Source organism: Homo sapiens, chromosome 4 (assembly GCF_000001405.40).
Source record: "Homo sapiens chromosome 4, GRCh38.p14 Primary Assembly".
NCBI classification, from domain to species: domain Eukaryota; kingdom Metazoa; phylum Chordata; class Mammalia; order Primates; family Hominidae; genus Homo; species Homo sapiens.
The window spans coordinates 158,984,331-159,003,714 of NC_000004.12; the positions used below are offsets into that span (position 1 = coordinate 158,984,331).

At 38.7% G+C, this 19,384-nt stretch overlaps 1 protein-coding gene across 5 annotated transcripts in view, besides 1 other annotated feature; it reads right to left on the reverse strand.

Moving 5' to 3' along the window:
- Positions 1 to 19,384, reverse strand: part of SPMIP2 (sperm microtubule inner protein 2) — a 189,752-nt gene that overhangs the window by 91,197 nt on the left and 79,171 nt on the right. The gene's annotated exons all lie outside the window — the stretch shown is intronic.
- Positions 11,929 to 13,128: an enhancer, noted in NCBI's record as "P300/CBP strongly-dependent group 1 enhancer chr4:159917411-159918610 (GRCh37/hg19 assembly coordinates)". NCBI's record gives its function as "activates an origin of replication core promoter dependent on BRD2, BRD4, P300/CBP, MED14 and CDK7 cofactors, with strong dependence on P300/CBP, by STARR-seq in HCT116 cells {active_cell/tissue: HCT116}" and the evidence as "EXISTENCE:reporter gene assay evidence [ECO:0000049][PMID:35650434]".

The window sequence follows — 19,384 nt, forward strand, 5'->3', positions numbered from 1 at the left end:
TTTTTTCAGCACCACACCTCACCTATTCCAAAATTGACCACATACTTGGGAGTAAAGCTCTCCTCTGCGAATGTAAAAGAACAGAAATTATAACAAACTGTCTCTCAGATCACAGTGCAATCAAACTAGAACTCAGGATTAAGAAACTCAGTGAAAACCGCTCAACTACATGGAAACTGAACAACCTGCTCCTGAATGACTACTGGGTACATAACGAAACCAAGGCAGAAATAAAGATGTTCTTTGAAACCAACGAGAACAAAGACACAACATACCAGAATCTCTGGGACACATTCAAAGCAGTGTGTAGAGGGAAATTTATAGCACTAAATGCCCACAAGAGAAAGCAGGAAAGATCCAAAATTGACATCCTAACATAACAATTAAAAGAACTAGAAAAGAAAGAGCAAACACATTCAAAAGCTAGCAGAAGGCAAGAAATAACTAAAATCAGAGCAGAACTGAAGGAAACAGAGACACAAAAAACCCTTCAAAAAATTAATGAATCCAGAAGCTGGTTTTTTGAAAGGATCAACAAAACTGATACACCGCTAGCAAGACTAATAAATAAAAAAAGAGAGAAGAATCAAATAGACGCAATAAAAAATGATAAAGGGGATATCACCACCGATCCCATAGAAATACAAACTACCATCAGAGAATACTACAAACACCTCTACACAAATAAACTAGAAAATCTAGAAGAAATGGATAAATTCCTCGACACATACACCCTCCCAAGACTAAACCAGGAAGAAGTTGAATCTCTGAATAGACCAATAACAGGCTCTGAAATTGTGGCAATAATCAATAGCTTACCAACCAAAAAGAGTCCAGGACCAGATGGATTCACAGCCGAATTCTACCAGAGGTACAAGGAGGAACTGGTACCATTCCTTCTGATACTATTCCAATCAATAGAAAAAGAGGGAATCCTCCCTCACTCATTTTATGAGGTCAGCATCATCCTGATACCAAAGCTGGGCAGAGACACAACCAAAAAAGAGAATTTTAGACCAATATCCTTGATGAACATTGATGCAAAAATCCTCAATAAAATACTGGCAAACCGAATCCAGCAGCACATCAAAAAGCTTATCCACCATGATCAAGTGGGCTTCATCCCTGGGATGCAAGGCTGGTTCAATATACACAAATCAATCAGTGTAATCCAGCATATAAACAGAACCAAAGACAAAAACCAGATGATTATCTCAATAGATGCAGAAAAGGCCTTTGAAAAAATTCAACAATGCTTCATGCTAAAAACTCTCAATAAATTAGGTATTGATGAGACGTATCTCAAAATAATAAGAGCTATCTATGACAAACCCACAGCCAATATCATACTGAATGGGCAAAAGCTGGAAGCATTCCCTTTGAAAACTGGCACAAGACAGGGATGCCCTCTCTCACCACTCCTATTCAACATACTGTTGGAAGTTCTGGCCAGGGCAATTAGGCAGGAGAAAGAAATAAAGGGTATTCAATTAGGAAAAGAGGAAGTCAAATTGTCCCTGTTTGCAGATGACTTGATTGTATATCTAGAAAACCCCATTGTCTCAGCCCAAAATCTCCTTAAGCTGATAAGCAACTTCAGAAAAGTCTCAGGATACAAAATCAATGTACAAAAATCACAAGCATTCTTATACACCAACAACAGACAAACAGAGAGCCAAATCATGAGTGAATTCCCATTCACAATTGCTTCAAAGAAAATAAAATACCTAGGAATCCAACTTACAAGGGATGTGAAGGACCTCTTCAAGCAGAACTACAAACCACTGTTCAAGGAAATAAAAGAGGATACAAACAAATGGAAGAACATTCCATGCTCATGGGTAGGAAGAATCAATATCGTGAAAATGGCCATACTGCCCAAGGTAATTTATAGATTCAGTGCCATCCCCATCAAGCTACCAATGACTTTCTTCACAGAATTGGAAAAAACTACTTTAAAGTTCATATGGAACCAAAAAAGAGCCCGCATTGCCAAGTCAATCCTAAGACAAAAGAACAAAGCTGGAGGCATCACGCTACCTGACTTCAAACTATACTACAAGGCTACAGTAACCAAAACACCATGGTACTGGTATCAAAACAGAGATATAGATCAATGGAACAGAACAAAGCCCTCAGAAATAACACCGCATATCTACAGCTATCTGATCTTTGACAAACTTGAGAAAAGCAATGGAGAAAGGATTCCCTATTTAATAAATGGTGCTGGGAAAACTAGCTAGCCATATGTAGAAAGCTGAAACTGGATCCCTTCCTTACACCTTATACAAAAATTAATTCAAGATGGATTAAAGTCTTAAATATTAGACCTAAAACCATAAAAACCCTAGAAGAAAACCTAGGCATTACCATTCAGGACATAGGCATGGGCAAGGACTTCATGTCTAAAATGCCAAAAGCAATGGCAACAGAAGCCAAAATTGACAAATGGGATCTAATCAAACTAAAGAGCTTCTGCACAGCAAAAGAAACTACCATCAGAGCGAACAGGCAACCTACAAAATGGGAGAAAATTTTTGCAACCTACTCATCTGACAAAGGGCTAATATCCAGAATCTACAATGAACTCAAACAAATTTACAAGAAAAAAACAAACAACCCCATCAAAAAGTGGGCGAAGGACATGAACAGACACTTCTCAAAAGAAGACATTTATGCAGCCAAAAAACACATGAAAAAATGTTCATCATCACTGGCCATCAGAGAAATGCAAATCAAAACCACAGTGAGATACCATCTCACACCAGTTAGAATAGCAATCATTAAAAAGTCAGGAAACAACAGATGCTGGAGAGGATGTGGAGAAATAGGAACACTTTTACACTGTTGGTGGGACTGTAATCTAGTTCAACCATTGTGGAAGTCAGTGTGGCAATTCCTCAGGGATCTAGAACTAGAAATAGCATTTGACCCAGCCATCCCATTACTGGGTATATACCCAAAGGATTATAAACCATGCTGCTATAAAGACACATGCACACATATGTTTATTGTGGCACTATTCACAATAGCAAAGACTTGGAACCAACCCAAATGTCCAACAATGATAGACTGGATTAAGAATATGTGGCACATATACACCATGGAATACTATGCAGCCATAAAAAATGATGAGTTCATGTCCTTTGTAGGGACATGGATGAAATTGGAAATCATCATTTTCAGTCAACTATCGCAAGGACAAACCAAACACCGCATGTTCTCACTCATAGGTGGGAATTGAACAATGAGAACACATGGACACAGAAAGGGGAACAACACACTCTGGGGACTGTTGTGGGGTAGGGGGAGTGGGGAGGGATAGCATTAGGAGCTATACCTAATGCTAAATGACGAGTTAATGGGTGCAGCACACCAGCATGGCACATGTATACTTATGTAACTAACCTGCACATTGTGCACATGTACCCTAAAACTTAAAGTATAATAATAATAAAATAAAAATAAAATAAAAATTGACACCCTAACATCACAATTAAAAGAATTAGAGAAGCAAGAGCAAACAAATTCAAAAGCTAGCAGAAGACAAAAAATAACTAAGATCAGAGCAGAACTGAAGGAGATAGAGACACAAAAAACCCTTCAAAAAATCAATGAATCCAGGAGCTGGTTTTTTGAAAAGATCAACAAAATATACTGCTAGCCAGGCTAATAAAGAAGAAAGGAGAGAATATTCAAATAGATGCAATAAAAAATGATAAAGGGGAGATCACCACTGATCCTGCAGAAATACAAACTACCATCAGAGAATACTATAAACAGCTGTACGCAAATAAACTAGAAAATCTAGAAGAAATGGATAAATTCCTGGGCACATACACCCTCCCAAGTCTAAAGTAGGAAGCAGTCAAATGCCTGAATAGACCAATAACAAGTTCTGAAATTGAGGCAGTAATTAATAGCCTGCCAACCAAAAAATGTCCAGGACCAGACAGATTCACAGCCAAATTCTACCAGAGGTACAAAGAGGAGCTGGTACCATTCCTTCTCAAACTATTCCAAATAATAGAAAAAGAGGGACTTCTGCCTAACTCATTTTATGAGGCCAGCATCATCCTGATACCAAAACCTGGCAGAGATGCAACAAAAAAAGAAAAAGGCCAATATCCCTGATGAACATCAGCACAAAAATCCTCAATAAAATATTGGCAAACTCAATCCAGCAGCACATCAAAAATCTCATCCACCATGATCAAGTTGGCTTCATCTCTGGGATGCAAGGCTGGTTCAACCTACACAAATCAATAAAAGTAATCCATCACATAAACACAACCAATGACAAAAACTATGTGATTATCTCAATAGATGCAGAAAAGGCCTTCAACAAAATTCAACAGCCCTTTATGCTATAAACTCTCAATAAACTAGGTATTGATGGAGTGTATCTCAAAATGAGAGCTATTTATGACAAACCCACAGCCAATATCATACTGAATGGCCAAAAACTGGAAGCACTCCCTTTGAAAACCAGCACAAGAATAGGATGACCTCTCTCACCACTCCTATTCAATGTAGTATTGGAAGTTCTGGCCAGGTCAATCAGGCAAGAGAAAGAAATAAAGGGTATTCACATAGGAAGAGAGCAACTCAAATTGTCTGTTTGCAGATGACATAATTATATCTTTACAAAACCCCACAGTCTCAGCCCAAAATCTCCTTAAGCTGATAAGCAACTTTGGCAAAGTCTCAGGATACAAAATCAGTGGGCAAAAATCACAAGCATTCCTGTACACCAATAACAGACAAACAGACAGCCAAATCATGAGTGAACTCCCAGTCACAATTGCTACAAAGAGAATAAAACACATAGGAATACAACTTACAAGAGATGTGAAGGATCTCCTCAAGAAGAACTACAAACTACTGCTCAAGGAAATGCGAGAGGACACAAGCAAATGGAAAACATTCCGTGCTCATGGATAACAAGAATCAATATCATGAAAATGGCCATACTGCCCAAAGTAATTTATACATTCAACACTATCCCCATCAAGCTACCATTGACTTTAACAGAATTAGAAAAAACTACTTTAAATTTCATATGAAACCAAAAAAGAGCCCACATAGCCAAGAAAATCTTGAGCAAAAAGAATAAAGCTGGAGGCATCATGCTACCTGATGTCAAACTATACTACAAGGCTACAGTAACCAAAACAGCATGGTACTGGAACCAAAACAGATATATAGACCGATGGAACAGAACAGAGGCCTCAGAAATAACACCATACACCTACAACCATCTGATCTTTGACAAACCTGACAAAAACAAGCAATGGGGAAAGGATTCCCTATTTAATAAATGGTGTTGGGAAAACTGGCTAGCCATATGCAGAAAACTGAAACTGGATCCCTTCCTTACACCTTTTACAAAAATTAACTCAAGATGGACTAAAGACTTAAATGTAAGACCTAAAACCATAAAATCCCTAGAAGAAAACCTAGGCAATACCATTCAGGACATAGGTATGGGCAAAGACTTCATGACTAAAACACCAAAAAGCAACGGCAACAAAAGCCAAAATTGACAAATGGGATCTAATTAAACTAAAGAGCTTCTGCACAGCAAAAGAAACTATTATCAGAGTGAACAGGCAACCTACAGAATGGGAGAAAATTTTGCAATCTATCCATATGACAAAGGGCTAATATCCAGAATCTCCAAAGAACTTAAATAAATTTACAAGGAAAAAAATACCTTATCAAAAAGCGGGTGAAGGATATGAACGGGTACTTCTTAAAGAAGACATTTATGCAACCAATAAACATATGAAAAAAAGCTCATCATCACTGGTCATTAGAGAAATGCAAATCAAAACCTCAATTAGATTCCATCTCACACCAGTTTGAATGGCAATCATTAAAAAGTCAGGAAACAACAGATGCTGGAGAGAATGTGTAGAAATAGGAATGCTTTTACACTGTTGGTGGGAGTGTAAATTAGTTCAACTATTGTGGAAGACAGTGTGGCAATTCTTCAAGGATCTAGAACCAGAAATATCATTTGACTCAGCAATCCCATCACTGGGTATATCCCCAAAGGATTATAAATCATTCTATTATAAAGACACATGCACACGTATGGTTATTGCAGCACTGTTCACAATAGTGAACAGTGAATACTGACTTGGAACCAACCCAAATGCCCATCAATGAAAGACTGGATAAAGAAAATGTGCCACATATACACCATGGAATACCATGCAGCCATAAAGATGAGGTCATGTTCTTTGCAGGGACATGGATGAAGCTGGAAACCATCATCCTCAGCAAACTAACACAAGAACAGAAAACCAAACACCGCCATGTTCTCACTCATAAGTGGGAGTTGAACAATGAGAACACATGGACACAGGCAGGGAAACATCACACATTGGGTCCCATTGAGGGGTGAGGGGCTAGGAGAGGGATAGCATTAGGAGAAATACCTAATGTAGATGATGGGCTGGTGGGTGCAGCAAACCACCATGTCATGTGTAAGCAAACCTGCACATTCTGCACATGTACTCCAGAACTTAAAATATAATAAAAAACGTTTGCAGATAGCTCAAATAAATTCATTTTTTAAAAAGAGATAGGGTCTTGCTATGTTGCCCAGGCTGAAGTGCAGTTGCTATTCACAGGTACAATAATAGTGCTCTAAAGACTTGGACTTCTGGGTTCAAATGATTCTCCTGTCTCAACCTCCCAAGTAGCTGGGACTACAGGCACATGCCACCAAGCTCTGCTAAAATTGGTAAAGTTGATTATGTGAATGTGAAAGATCTAAGACTTTCTGTAAGAAATGGTACTTACTGATGAAAAACAGACAATGGAGCTACTGGCCCAGGAAGAAGTTCAAAGCCCCAGAACCAAAATGAGTGTAGACGTGTATGGGCAGACTGGGGACAGAAAGAAGGAATTTCATTTCTTTTCCAAAAGTTAACCAAAGACCTTGGAGACAGAATCTGTGTTGTGGTGACAACATTGCCTCAGTCCTTTCTGGCTCCTGTGGCTCCCTTCATCTTGTTCTTAAATCAGGGAGCTCAGTATTTGCAAAAAGTGCAAGGTGGGCAAGGGCTTTGATCCACTGCCCCTGACATGTGGACCAGGTACTCTTGATAGGATGGTCAACGTGTAACAAGACTGTGCTCAGAAAACGAATCTCAGCTTTCCAAGGAAGCTGAAAATGTGAGGGTTTTTCAGAAACAATTTTAGCAGGTGTTTTCACAGCTTCCTAATCACCATCACTCCCCGTGAAAATTGAGTATTCACTGAGTGGCTAATTTCCCCTGATGAAAACATCGTGGCTTCAATTTTATTTGCTTCAGGTTTTCACTTAGAACTACTTTGATAAAGCATAGAATTGTCAGAGCATGAAAACCTGTTTTCTCTTTCCATATGACAGGTGTTGAGGTCTCATTTACAAAACTCTCTCATAAGGAACTTTTTGCAATCTCTTCTAAACAGTGAAATATGGAAGAACTGTATTAGTCTTTTTGGAATTGCAGTGTATGTTTAAGCCAGTTTTTTTTTAATTTTATTTTACTCTGAGGTGTACCCTTCAGAAAATACTTTTTTTCCTTTTTAGAAACAGGACCTTGCTTCACCCAGGCTGAAGTGATGCAATCCTAGCTCACTGCAGCCTTGACCACCTGGGCTCCAGGGATCCTCCTGACTCAGCCTCTCGAGTAGCTAGGATTACAGGTGCAGGCCATCACATTTGGCTAATTATTATTATTATTTGTAGACATGGAGTCTTATTGCCCAGGCTGGTCTCAAACTCCTGGCCTCAAGTGAACCTCCTGCCTCGGCCTTCCGAAGTGCTGAGATTACAGACATGAGCCACTGTGTCCAGACTCAGACCAGTGTTTTCCCAAATACTTCATCAAATGCTGCTCGTATGAGTGCACCATGAAGGTGGTGGTGTGTGCGGGAGGGATCTCTGTAGTCAAATGCATTTGGGAACACTGCTGGCTACATTTGCCTTGCAGATATTCACAGCATATGAAAGTATATTAAGAGTTCTGATAAGACTTATGGTAAATAAACTATTTACAATTACATAGCTCAGTGTTCCTCAAAATGATTTAAACATAGATGGTTTTTCCCTACTGGGTCACTTATATGCATCCTACTGTAAATGTGAGAGTAGATATTTATCTGTCATTAGTTCCTAAGTTGTTCTGTGGACTGCAGTAAGCTTTTGAAAAAAGCCATTACTTGCCAGCTGTCTTGGTTTGTGCTGCTATAACAAAATACCCGAGACTAAGTAACTTGTAAAGAACAGAAATTTGTTTTCATACAGTTATGAAGGCTGGGAGTCCAAGATCAAGGTGCTGGCAGGTTGTGTGATGAAGGCCGCTCTCTGCTTCTAAGATGGTGCCTTGTTGCTGCATCTTCTGGAGGGGAGGAACACCAGGTCCCAACAGGGCAGCAGGTGGAAGGACAAGCAAGCTGGAGGTGCTGTGAAGCCTTCTTTATAAAGGCTTTAATCTCATTCATGAGGGAGGAGCCCTCATGGCCTAATCATCTCTTAAAGGCCCCGCCTCTTACTCCTAGCACATTGGCCGTTAAATTTCAACACCTGAATTTGGGGAGGTGGGCACACTTAAACCATAGCACAAGCTGAGTCAAAAGCTCTTAGTTTTAGAAGGTGTGATGAAAAGTGCACATGCTTTGCAACCCAAGTATGTGTGTTTCTGTGTGTGTGTGTGTCCAGTCAGTCCAACAAACTTCATCTTCTGCCAACACTTGAAAAAAGGGCTGGGCATGGTGTGTCAGGCACCATGGAAGGCTAAGAAGGGAGGATCACTGGAGTGTAGGAGTCTGAGACCAGCCTCGGCAACATAGTAAGACCCTGTCTCTACAAAAAAAAAATTTTTTTAATTAGCCAGCCGCCCATGGCATGCCCGGGTAGTCCCAGCTCCTCAGGAGGCTGAGGCAGGAGGCTCATTTGAGCCCAGAAGTTTGAGGTAGCAGTGAGCTATGATCATGCCACTGCACTCCAGCCTGGGCAACAGAGTGAGATCCTGTCTCTAAAAAAAAGAAGAAAAAAAAGAAAAAAAAGAACCCAACTACAATGTGTGTTAATAGAGAAAGGGAAAATTCCATCCCTGAAGCAAATGTGTCTTTCTGACCTCTTCTGTGCAGTTTTTTTTTAAATTTCTATTTTCATGCTATTACTGGGATTCTCTGCAGTTTCATTGTCTCATTTAGTTCGTTCATTTATTCTTTCACTGATTTATTCATTTATTCAACACGTACTTATGAACAGCTACTACATGTCAGGCACTCTTCTGAGTGCTTGGAATATAGCAGTGAAAAAAACAAAGGCCGCTGCCTTTATGAAACTGGCATTCTTTGAGAGGCAGGTGCTAGAAATAAACAATTCTTCATCATCTGGATTATCACCACAGCCTCCTTAACTAGTCTTGGCTCTAGTTTCTCTCCTTTCTAATCCATCTTCTACACAGCTGCCAAGAGTGATTTAAAACTCAGACAACATTAAACACTTCCTTTCCTTAAAAACATGAAATAACATGAAATAATTTTCTCCAGCACTTGGGAATTTGTGTCCATTCAGATTTCTCAGGATTGAAGAATAATGTCTTCCTAATCTGACCATAATACCTTCCTTAACCTTTTCTCATTGTTAAACCGAACACTATGAGGCTTATTGTAAATGCTTCCTTCTATGGAGAACCTATCTAATCCCTTCAAGTCAAAATTAAACACTCAGCACGATGTAGATGGTAGCTTCATTGAATTTCACTTCTTCTTTTCTATATCAAATTTACTGGATCTTCCTCATTTGTAAGCTCTTGGAGAAGAGTTGTATCTTATTTATCTCTGTTAATTCTTAATGGCCAGCACTGTGCTTTGAATGTGGGAGATCCACAGAAGAAATGGATGTTGAATAAGTAAGTGAATTGTTGATTGAATACATGAATTAAAGAGTTCCATTAAAAGACTGAAGATATATAAAGTCATATTGGGTGAGAGGCAAGCACTTCTTTAAATTTCCAACTAGCAACTTAATTTCCAGAACTGCCTTAAAACCCTCCTATTCTGGAATTTATGTTAAGATACTTAAGTGTAAGGTCAGAGGAAGAATTGCTTTTCACTACATTTATTTTTAATACTTAGAGGTAGAAGGATGAGAGCTCACAGTTACATTATTTCATTTTATAATATTGCCTCATGAGGTCAATCCTCTATTTCAGTGACCAGATGGAAACCCACCAAATAAATAAATCAAAAGGAATCAAGTAGACCTTGGAAATGAGTGTTTCAATAGGTATATTTGATAATCTGTTGACACTAGAGTCATAATTTGCCCCTTGAAGATGTGCAGTGCAGAACAGCTGGGCTTGTCAGGGGAATCAAGCCAAGGTAAAGGTCAGAGAGCGATGGTGGGATTCGAACCTATGAAATGAACTCTAATGGGCACGTCTGACATGTGCACATAGGGGGAAGAAAAAAGGAGATACTGCTAGAGATTAATTACTACAACTGCTAATGTGAATAAGGCTCTCCAATTCTGACATTTACCACAGAATGAACTCATGGCCCGGAAAATTTTTAAATGCTGCATTTCAATTCAGTTGGTACAATTATGCAATGGGCCTAACCACTGAAAGAACTGAAAGGCTAGGTTTGTCAAATTTCTGAATGAGCCAAATAAACAGCAGGCTAAAGCATCCTTGCTACATACCTTAGTTCTATTCTTAAATGATAAACTTTCTCATTTTTTTCATTTTTCTTTTTAATAAAGACAAAGTCTTGCTGTGTTGCCCAGACTGATCTTGAATTCCTGGCCCCAAGTGATCCTCCTACTCTGGACACCCAAAGTGCTGGGATTACAGGCATGAGTCCCGTGCCTGGACTTTGTTATTATTCTTTTTGTTTTTTTGTAGTCAAACTTTCCTGTGGACAACCTGAAAGCAGGGGCAGTGGTTACTAATTAAACTGCTTCCAATAATAAACTCGTGGGATTATTGTGTCAACTAGGTAACTGATATAATTATGCCTCAAATTATAAATTGGAATTCAGTCACAAAGAATTAGAGAATTCACCTGACACTTATGCACAGCTTAACTGATGGCTTAAATAATATATTTGGCACCTTACCACATGCCCAATACTGGCTCAGTGTGAACAAAGGTCATTATGACATGGCCTCTGTTTTTCTGGCCTCCCATACAATCTAAAGACCATGCTCACCTCCTTTAGAAAATATTTTCTGAGCTGGACATGGTGGCTCAGGCCTGTAATTCCAGCACTTTGGGAGGCCGAGGCAGGTGGATCACAAGGTCAACAGATCAAGACCATCCTGGCCAACATAGTGAAACCCTGTCTCTACTAAAAATACAAAAATTAGCTGGGCGTGGTGGCGTGTGCCTGTAGTCCCAGCTACTCAGGAGGCTGAGGCAGGAGAATCGCTTGAACCCGGGAGACGGAGGTTGCAGTGAGCTGAGATTGCACCACCGCACTCCAGCCTGGCAACAGAGTGAGACTCCATCTCAAAAAAAAAAAAAAAAAAAAAAAGAGAAAACATTTTCTGTTCTTCATGGCAGACATTATTATTCACTGAAACTTTAAAGTACAATTTGATCTGTTTCATTTGTGTGCTGAGGTTTCCTAGCCGTTTCGTGACTATGTGTCTTGTCTCTTTGCTTGACAGTTAACCCGTTTTTCGTCCCTATTAGAGACTCGCACGACGTCTCGTTTGCTTTGGAACCTCTTTAGCATTCTGGACAGTGCAATGCACCAAGCAAATGCATAGTAATATTTGCTGAAAGAAGACTGCTTGCTCATTAAATTTGCTGATGTAATCAAAAATATAAAATTCTGTAGTTTTCCTGTCAAGTAGAGAAAGAAGGCAGAATCAAAAATTTTGTAAACATCCTTGGACTTTTAGTTGAAAAGTAAAACTGACCCATCTTGACAAAATTTTGCAACCAGGTGAATCCACATATTCATCTCTCCTGAAAGGAAAATCTAAGTAGATAACAAATAAATTACATTTTCTTTATTTTGGCTTGCAATTTTCCTAGCATAAATGTGCATGGTATAGTCAGTTTTATTATAAGAAATGCTCACCATTCACATAGATAGTCTCTAGATATTTCATGAAAAAAATTAGTAAGATTTGTGTATATAGAACTAATAAAAATCCATTTGAGTGCTGCAAGTAATAGGAAATCCATTGCAAAATTGATTAAACAATTAAGGAAAATTATGTCCCATAATAAGATCTTCTGAGGCAGGAGGAATCCAGGGTTGCTTTCTTCAGTAGCTCAATGATGTCTTCGGAATCACAGGCTTTTCCATCTGTGTGCACTGCATCCTCTCCTTACCCCTGGCCAGTTCCCCTTGAGGTCCCAAGGAGGCTGTCACGGTTTCAGTTATCATAGGCAGATACAATGATGTTCAAGAGGGTGTGTGTATGTTTAATCAGCAGGGAAGCCCTTCCTAGAAAACCTCAGATAAATTCCTCTCTCATTTTATTCACCAGGATTGAGTCATTCGTCTCTTCCTAAAACCAAGAGCTGGCAAGGGAACTGGAATTTCGATGACTGGCTTGGATGATTCAGAATTTAATCCTGAGTCATGTGAGGTCAGGGTAGACACCCAAATAAAATGGAAGCTCTCTGGAAAGGGAGAAGAGTGTGCTGGCCTCTGGGTAGTCAGCTACAAAGCAAAAAGGAAAACATTCCTCAGAGAAAACACACACACACAAACACACAGCTACAATGCAACTTTTTACTGCTGCTGTGCAATTTACTTTTAAGACCACATGAAATTATTTGAAGTTACTTCTTTTCTCCTCTTTGGTCTCTGTTGCTAGCTAAATCATAATTAGTTTGGTGTTCGTACTATCATACTTGTGAATATGGCTTTTTTTTTTTTTTTTGAGATGAAGCTTCGCTCTTGTTGCCCAGGCTGGAGTACAATGGCACAATCTTAGCTCACTGCAACCTCTGCCTCCTGGGTTCCAGCGATTCTCCTGCCTCAGCCTCTGAAGTAGCTGGGATTACAGGCATGCGCCACCACACCCAGCTAATTTTGTAATTTTAATAGAGACAGGGTTTCACTGTGTTGGTCAGGCTGGTCTCAAACTCCTGACCTCAGGTGATCTGCCCACCTCAAAAGTGGTGGGATTACAGGTGTAAGCCACCGGACCCAGCCAAGGATATGGGTTTATACTAAAGCAATGCAAAGAAATGAAGGCAAGCCAGGGGCTCATTCAGAAACTATCCTCACAAAAGGCAAGGGAGAGGGCAATTATTGGTATTCCTCCATATTCAAGCTCTTTAGTTGTTGTTGTTATTGTTTAGAGACAGGGTCTCACTCTGTTGCCCTGGCTGGAGTGCAGTGGCACAATCCTGACTCACTGCAGCCTTGAACTCCTGGGCCCAAATAATTCCCCCACCTCAGCCTCCTAAGTAGCTGTGATTACACGCATGGGCCTCCACACTCGGCTAATTTTTAAAATTTTTTTGGTAGATATGAGGGTCTTACTATGTTGCCCAGGCTGGTGTCAAACCCCTGGCCTCAAGTGATCCTCCCACATCGGCCTCCCAAAGTGCTGGGATTACTGACATGAGCCACTGTGCCTGGCCTCCATAATCAAACTCTTTGATCTAGAGCAGAGGTCAGCACATTTTTTTTTAAAGGTCAGATAGTAAATGTTTTAGGCTTGCAGGTCATACATACAATCTCTATCACAACTCCTCAACCCTGTCACTGCAGTGGACAATACGTAAACCAGTAAGTGTGGCTGTGTTCTAATAAAACAGAATTTATGGGCACTGAAATTAGAATTTTATATAGTTTTTATGGGTTGGTAAATATTTTTCTTTTAACTTTTTTCAACCACTTACAAAGTGAAAGCCCACTTTTAGCTGTATAAAAAAAGGTGGCAAGCCAGATTTGGCACATGAGCCATGGTTTACTAAATCCTGTTCTACAGCAGTTTTCATATTTGTCTTTTATCTTACATCTCCTTCTTGCATATTTTAGATATGAATGAAGCTTCTCTATTTATTAGACTTAATTAATTGATTACATAACTGCAAAAATAAGTATTTCATTTAAGTGGACTATTTTGTAGATTCATAAAAGAACGTACTTTTTATTTGTACAATAACAGGTCCCAGTGGAGAGTCTTGCTTGACTCTACATTGCCAGTGTCAATTTGGCCCCATATCATTTCTGCCTTTGTGTTAATTGGTTTTCTTATTATTAGAGTTGTATAAATGACCAGTGAGAAGATGTGAATATAAAACAGATTTGCCAGCACAATAAAAAATAGAAAAGTGGGGAAGACACTAAATTATACAGATAGATTGGAAATAACATTAGGTAAGAATCGCGCCGGTTTTACCCACACTGGAAAGAGCTGAGAGGTATGCATAGCTCTTTTATTGCTCTGAGTAATGATGGTAATTATGATGTAATCCACAGAGCACAACCGACACTGGACTGGGTGGAAATAGTGCTCTCAATCCTCCACTCTATAACAATATGGCTTGTAAAACGTATGTACCATTGAGGCCAGGCGTGGTGGCTCATGACTACTTTGGAAGGCCAAGACAGGAGGATCACTTGAGTCCAGGAGTTCAAGACCAGCCTGAGAAACATAGTGAGCCCCTGTCTCTACAAAAAAAATTTTTTTTAATTAACTGGGCATGGTGGCACACACCTGTGGTCCCAGCTACTTGAGAGGTTGAGGCTGGAGGATTGCTTGAGCCCAGGAGGTCAGGAGGTTGAGGCTGCAGTGAGCCAAGATCGTGCCACTGCACTCTAGCTGGGAGACAGAGTGAGACCCTGCCTCAAAAAAAAAAACAACAAAAAAAAACCCAAAAAAACCCATTGACTTAATAGTAGTTTTGCTTCAAAAAGAGAAAAGAAATTTACCACTTTAAATGTAGGCATTGATAGCAAAGAGTATCACAATTATAGACAAGTTAAATGTAATTTATGAAAATGACACTTTTAGCCTGGATGAAATGTGGCAATTCCCTAGATAAACAGTACATTAGGAAGGGCTTGTCTATTTCTAGATGGCAGTAAGTGACTTCAATTTAGGCCAGGGTAATTTAGACCAGTAAGTGGTATTTCTCAACCTTGTAAATATATAATAAAGGGAAAATAGCTCAAAGTATGCTGTAAGAAAAACATGTAAACCTGCTATCTGGATTATTGAGAAATATTTAATGGTGTAAAGCAAGTAAGCTGTAATCAACAGAATCTTTACATTTTTTGGTATCTCTTTGTAAAACCTTTGCCCTTCTCTACTTAAGACACCCAGGGAACTGGCTGTGCTTCCTGATCATTAAGAAGACTGAAATAAAGTGACTCCTTATTCATTCCAGAAATGGATTTCACTATGCTGCAGCACTTAGCTTGTAAAATGGATTTATAAACAGGTGAAATATTAGGTGGGTAAAGCCACATGACAGTAAAGATTTACAAATTAAATTTCTTTATCTGAATATTCTTACTTTAAGGATTTATTTTCCCATCTCTGTAAATAAACATTTTTTTTTAAGAACCTACTTGGTATAATAGAAAGAGCACTTGAACAGGGAAAAATGGCAATTAAGATTTTGGTTTTGACCTTGCTGCCACTGGCATAGAGAACTTGGGAAAGTCATTTCATCTTCCTTGGTTAACTTCAATTTCTTTCTTTTTTTTTTAAACCAGCTTTATTGAGATGTAATTGACATACAATAAATTGCACATATTTGAAGCATACATCTGTACATTTTTACATATATGTACACACATGAACAGGGTTGTCAGATTTAAAGTACAGAATGCCCAGTTAAATTCGGATTTCAGATAAACAATGAAACATTTTTAGTATAAGTATGTCCCAAACATTTGCATGGTACATATTCATACTAAAAAAATTTATTCATCTGAAATTCAAATTTAACTGGCCACTCTATGTTTTTATTTGCGAAATCAAACAGCTCTATCCATGGATTCTCACTGTAGTTAAGATCAAGAACTTATCTGTCATTTTTCCCATACCCAGGCAATCACTTTTCTGCTTTCTGTTACTATAGATTAGTTTGCGGTTCCCAGAATTTGATCTAAATGGCATCGAATCATACAGTATGCACTCTCTTTTGTCTGGCTTCTTCTTCTTCTTTTTTTTTTTTTTTTTTGAGAGGGAGTCTTGCTCTGTTGCCCAGGCTGGAGTGCACTGGTGCAATCTCCGCTCACTGCAACCTCTGCCTCCTGGATTCAAGTATTCTCCTGCCTCAGCCTCCCTAGTATCTGAGATTACAGGCACACGCCACCACGCCCGGCTAGTTTTTGTATTTTTAGTAGAGATGGGGCCTCACCATATTGGCCAAGCTGGTCTCAAACTCCTGACCTCAAGTGATCCACCCAACCCAAAGTGCTGGGATTACAGGTGTGAGCCACCGGTGCCTGGCTTGTCTGGCTCCCTACACTAAGCATAATTATTTTGAGATCATCCAAATTGTAACATGTAGCAATAGTTTATTCCTTTTTATTGCTGAGTAATATTCTATTGTACAGATATGTAACATTTACCTATTGATGGACTTTGGGGTTCTTTTCAATTTGGGGCTGTATAAAGCTGCTATGAACATTTGTGTATTAATCTTTTTATGGACATTTGTTTTCATTTATCTTGGGTAAATAACTAGAAGTGGAATGGCTGGATCATATGGTAGATGTATTAATTTGTAAAGGAACTTCCAAATTGCTTCAACAGTAGTTGTGTCATTTTTGCATTCCCACTAGCAGTATATGAGAGTTCTATTTTCTCCACATCTTTGCCAACACTTGGTCTTCTTAATTGGTGCATTCTAATAGGTATGTAGTGATACCTCATTGCAGTTTTAATTTGCAATCTCTAATGACTAATCATGTAGAGGACCTTTTGCTTATTTGCTATCCATATATTTTCTTTAGTAAAGTGTTCAAATCTTTTGCCCATTTCTTAATTGCCTCGTCTTCTTATTGAGAGAGTTGAGCTTTTTAAAAAACTTTTATTTTAGGTTTGGGGGTACATGTGCAAGTTTGTTATATAGGTAAACTCATGTCATGGGGGTTTGTTGTACAGATTGTCACCCAGGTACTAAGCCTAGTACCCAATAGTTACTTTTTCTGCTCCTCTCCCTCCTCCCATCCTCTACCCTCAAGTAGGCTATTGTTCTCTTCTTTGTGTCTGTGAGTTCTCATCATTTAGCTCCCACTTATAAGTGAGAACATGCAGTATTTGGTTTTCTATTCCTGCATTAGTTTGCTAAGGCTAATGGCCTCCAGTTCTATCCATGTTCCCACAAAAGACAGGATCTCACTCTTTCTTATGGCTGCATAGTATTCCATGTCGTATATGTACCATGTTTTCTTTATTCAATCTATCATTAATGGGCATTTAGTTTGATTCAATGTCTTTGCTATTGTGAGTAGTGCTGCAATGAACATTTGTGTGCACGTGTCTTTATGATACACTAATTTACATTCCACTGGTTTTATACCCAGTAATGGGATTGCTGCATTAAATGGCAGTTCTGTTTTTAGCTCTTTGAGGAAGCGCCACCCTGCTTTCCACAATGGTTGAACTAATTTACACTCCAACAAGTGTTCCCTTTGCTCTGCATCCTCGCCAGCATCTGTTATTTTTTGACTTTTTAATAATAGCCATCCTGACTGGTGTTTTTGTGGTTTTGATTTGCATTTCTCTAATGATCAGTGATATTGAGCTTTTTTTTTCATATGCTTCTTGGCCACATGTATGTCTTCTTTAGAAAAGTATCCTTATCACTTGCCCACTTTTTAATGGGGTTGTTTGTTATTTTCCTGTAAATTTGTTTCTGTTCCTTATGGATGCTGGATATTAGACCAAGAGTATTTTATATGCTCTGAATACAAGTCCTTTATCAGATATGTACCTTGCAAATATTTTCTTCTAATCTGTGCTTGTAGTTTCATTTTTTAAAGTGTCTTGTGAAGAGCAGAAGTTTTTAATTTTGATAAAGTTTACTTTATTAATTTATTCTTTAATGGATCATACCATAGGTGTTACACCTAAAAATTATTTTGTTAAAAAAATTATTTTTTGTAGAGATGGGATCTCATTATGTTGCCCAGGTTGGTCTCAACTCCTGGCCTCAAGCATGAGCTACTGTGCCCAGCCTAAATAATCTTTGTCTAATCTAAGATCACAAAGTTTTTCTCCTATGTTTTCTTTTAGAAGTTTTATAGTTTTAGGTTTATACATATAGGTCCATGACCCATTTCAAGTCCATTTTTGTATATAAGAAGAGATATGAAGTTCAATTGTTTTTGTATATGGATATCCAGTTATTTTGGCACCATTTGTAAAAGACTATCACTTTTCACTAAATTGCTTTTGCATCTTTGTTTTAATGATACATATCACTGCACACACACACACACACACACACACACACGCAGTGTTGTTAACTGGGTCCCTATGTGAAATGTATTTCTTACTGTGGACTGCAGTCAGAAAAGTTTGAAAGGCAGTGCTATGATGGCTACCTGAATTACTTTTTTCTCTCTCTCTGGTCTCCTAATCATTCTTGTCTATCACTTCCATATATTCAGTCCTTCCTGCTTCTTCAATTTCCACTGTTCCTCTAAAACGTCATTTTCTATGAAAGCACATTTATGATCACCTCAGGAAAGCATTGTTTTTGCTATTCCTTTCATTTTTTCCTCCCCTCTCTGCTATACAGGGAAATGATAAAACATTTTATATCTCCCTGCCAAGTTTATACCACTCTCTGTGTAATTCGCCCTGTGACCTTTCATTCAGTGTTTCTTGTGGTTCGCAATTGGTTTACAGCACATCATTTCCTTTTTCATTTGTTTTGCTTTATTGGGAGACAGCATGATGTGTAGAAAAGAGAATGGGCCATACTCCAGCTGAACCCTATTTCATAATAGGCTCATAACCTTCTTCAAAATACCATCTCTCAGGCTCAGTTTCTTTATCTGAAAAATAAAACCACATCTAACAACCTCATATATTTGTTGTAAGAATTAAGTAAGGTATTGTATGTAGCATATGTGAGGCATGTCTAGTCCTATACCGGACACATAATAGATGCCTGATGATAGCTATTATCACCATACTATGTACCTTCTAACCACTTCTGTTATTTCCATCACCTTCCCTCATGTCTGTATCTTCTACTATGCTAATGCTATTGTAGGCTGTACAGTACGGCGCCTCAGATAATTAAATTCAATGACCTCAACTACCCTTGTGAGAATGATTTTACACAGGAAGTGTCATGGTGCCAAAGAGATGAAAGAGATCAGATTTCATTTCACTCTAAAAAAGAAAGACATTTTTTCTTCCAC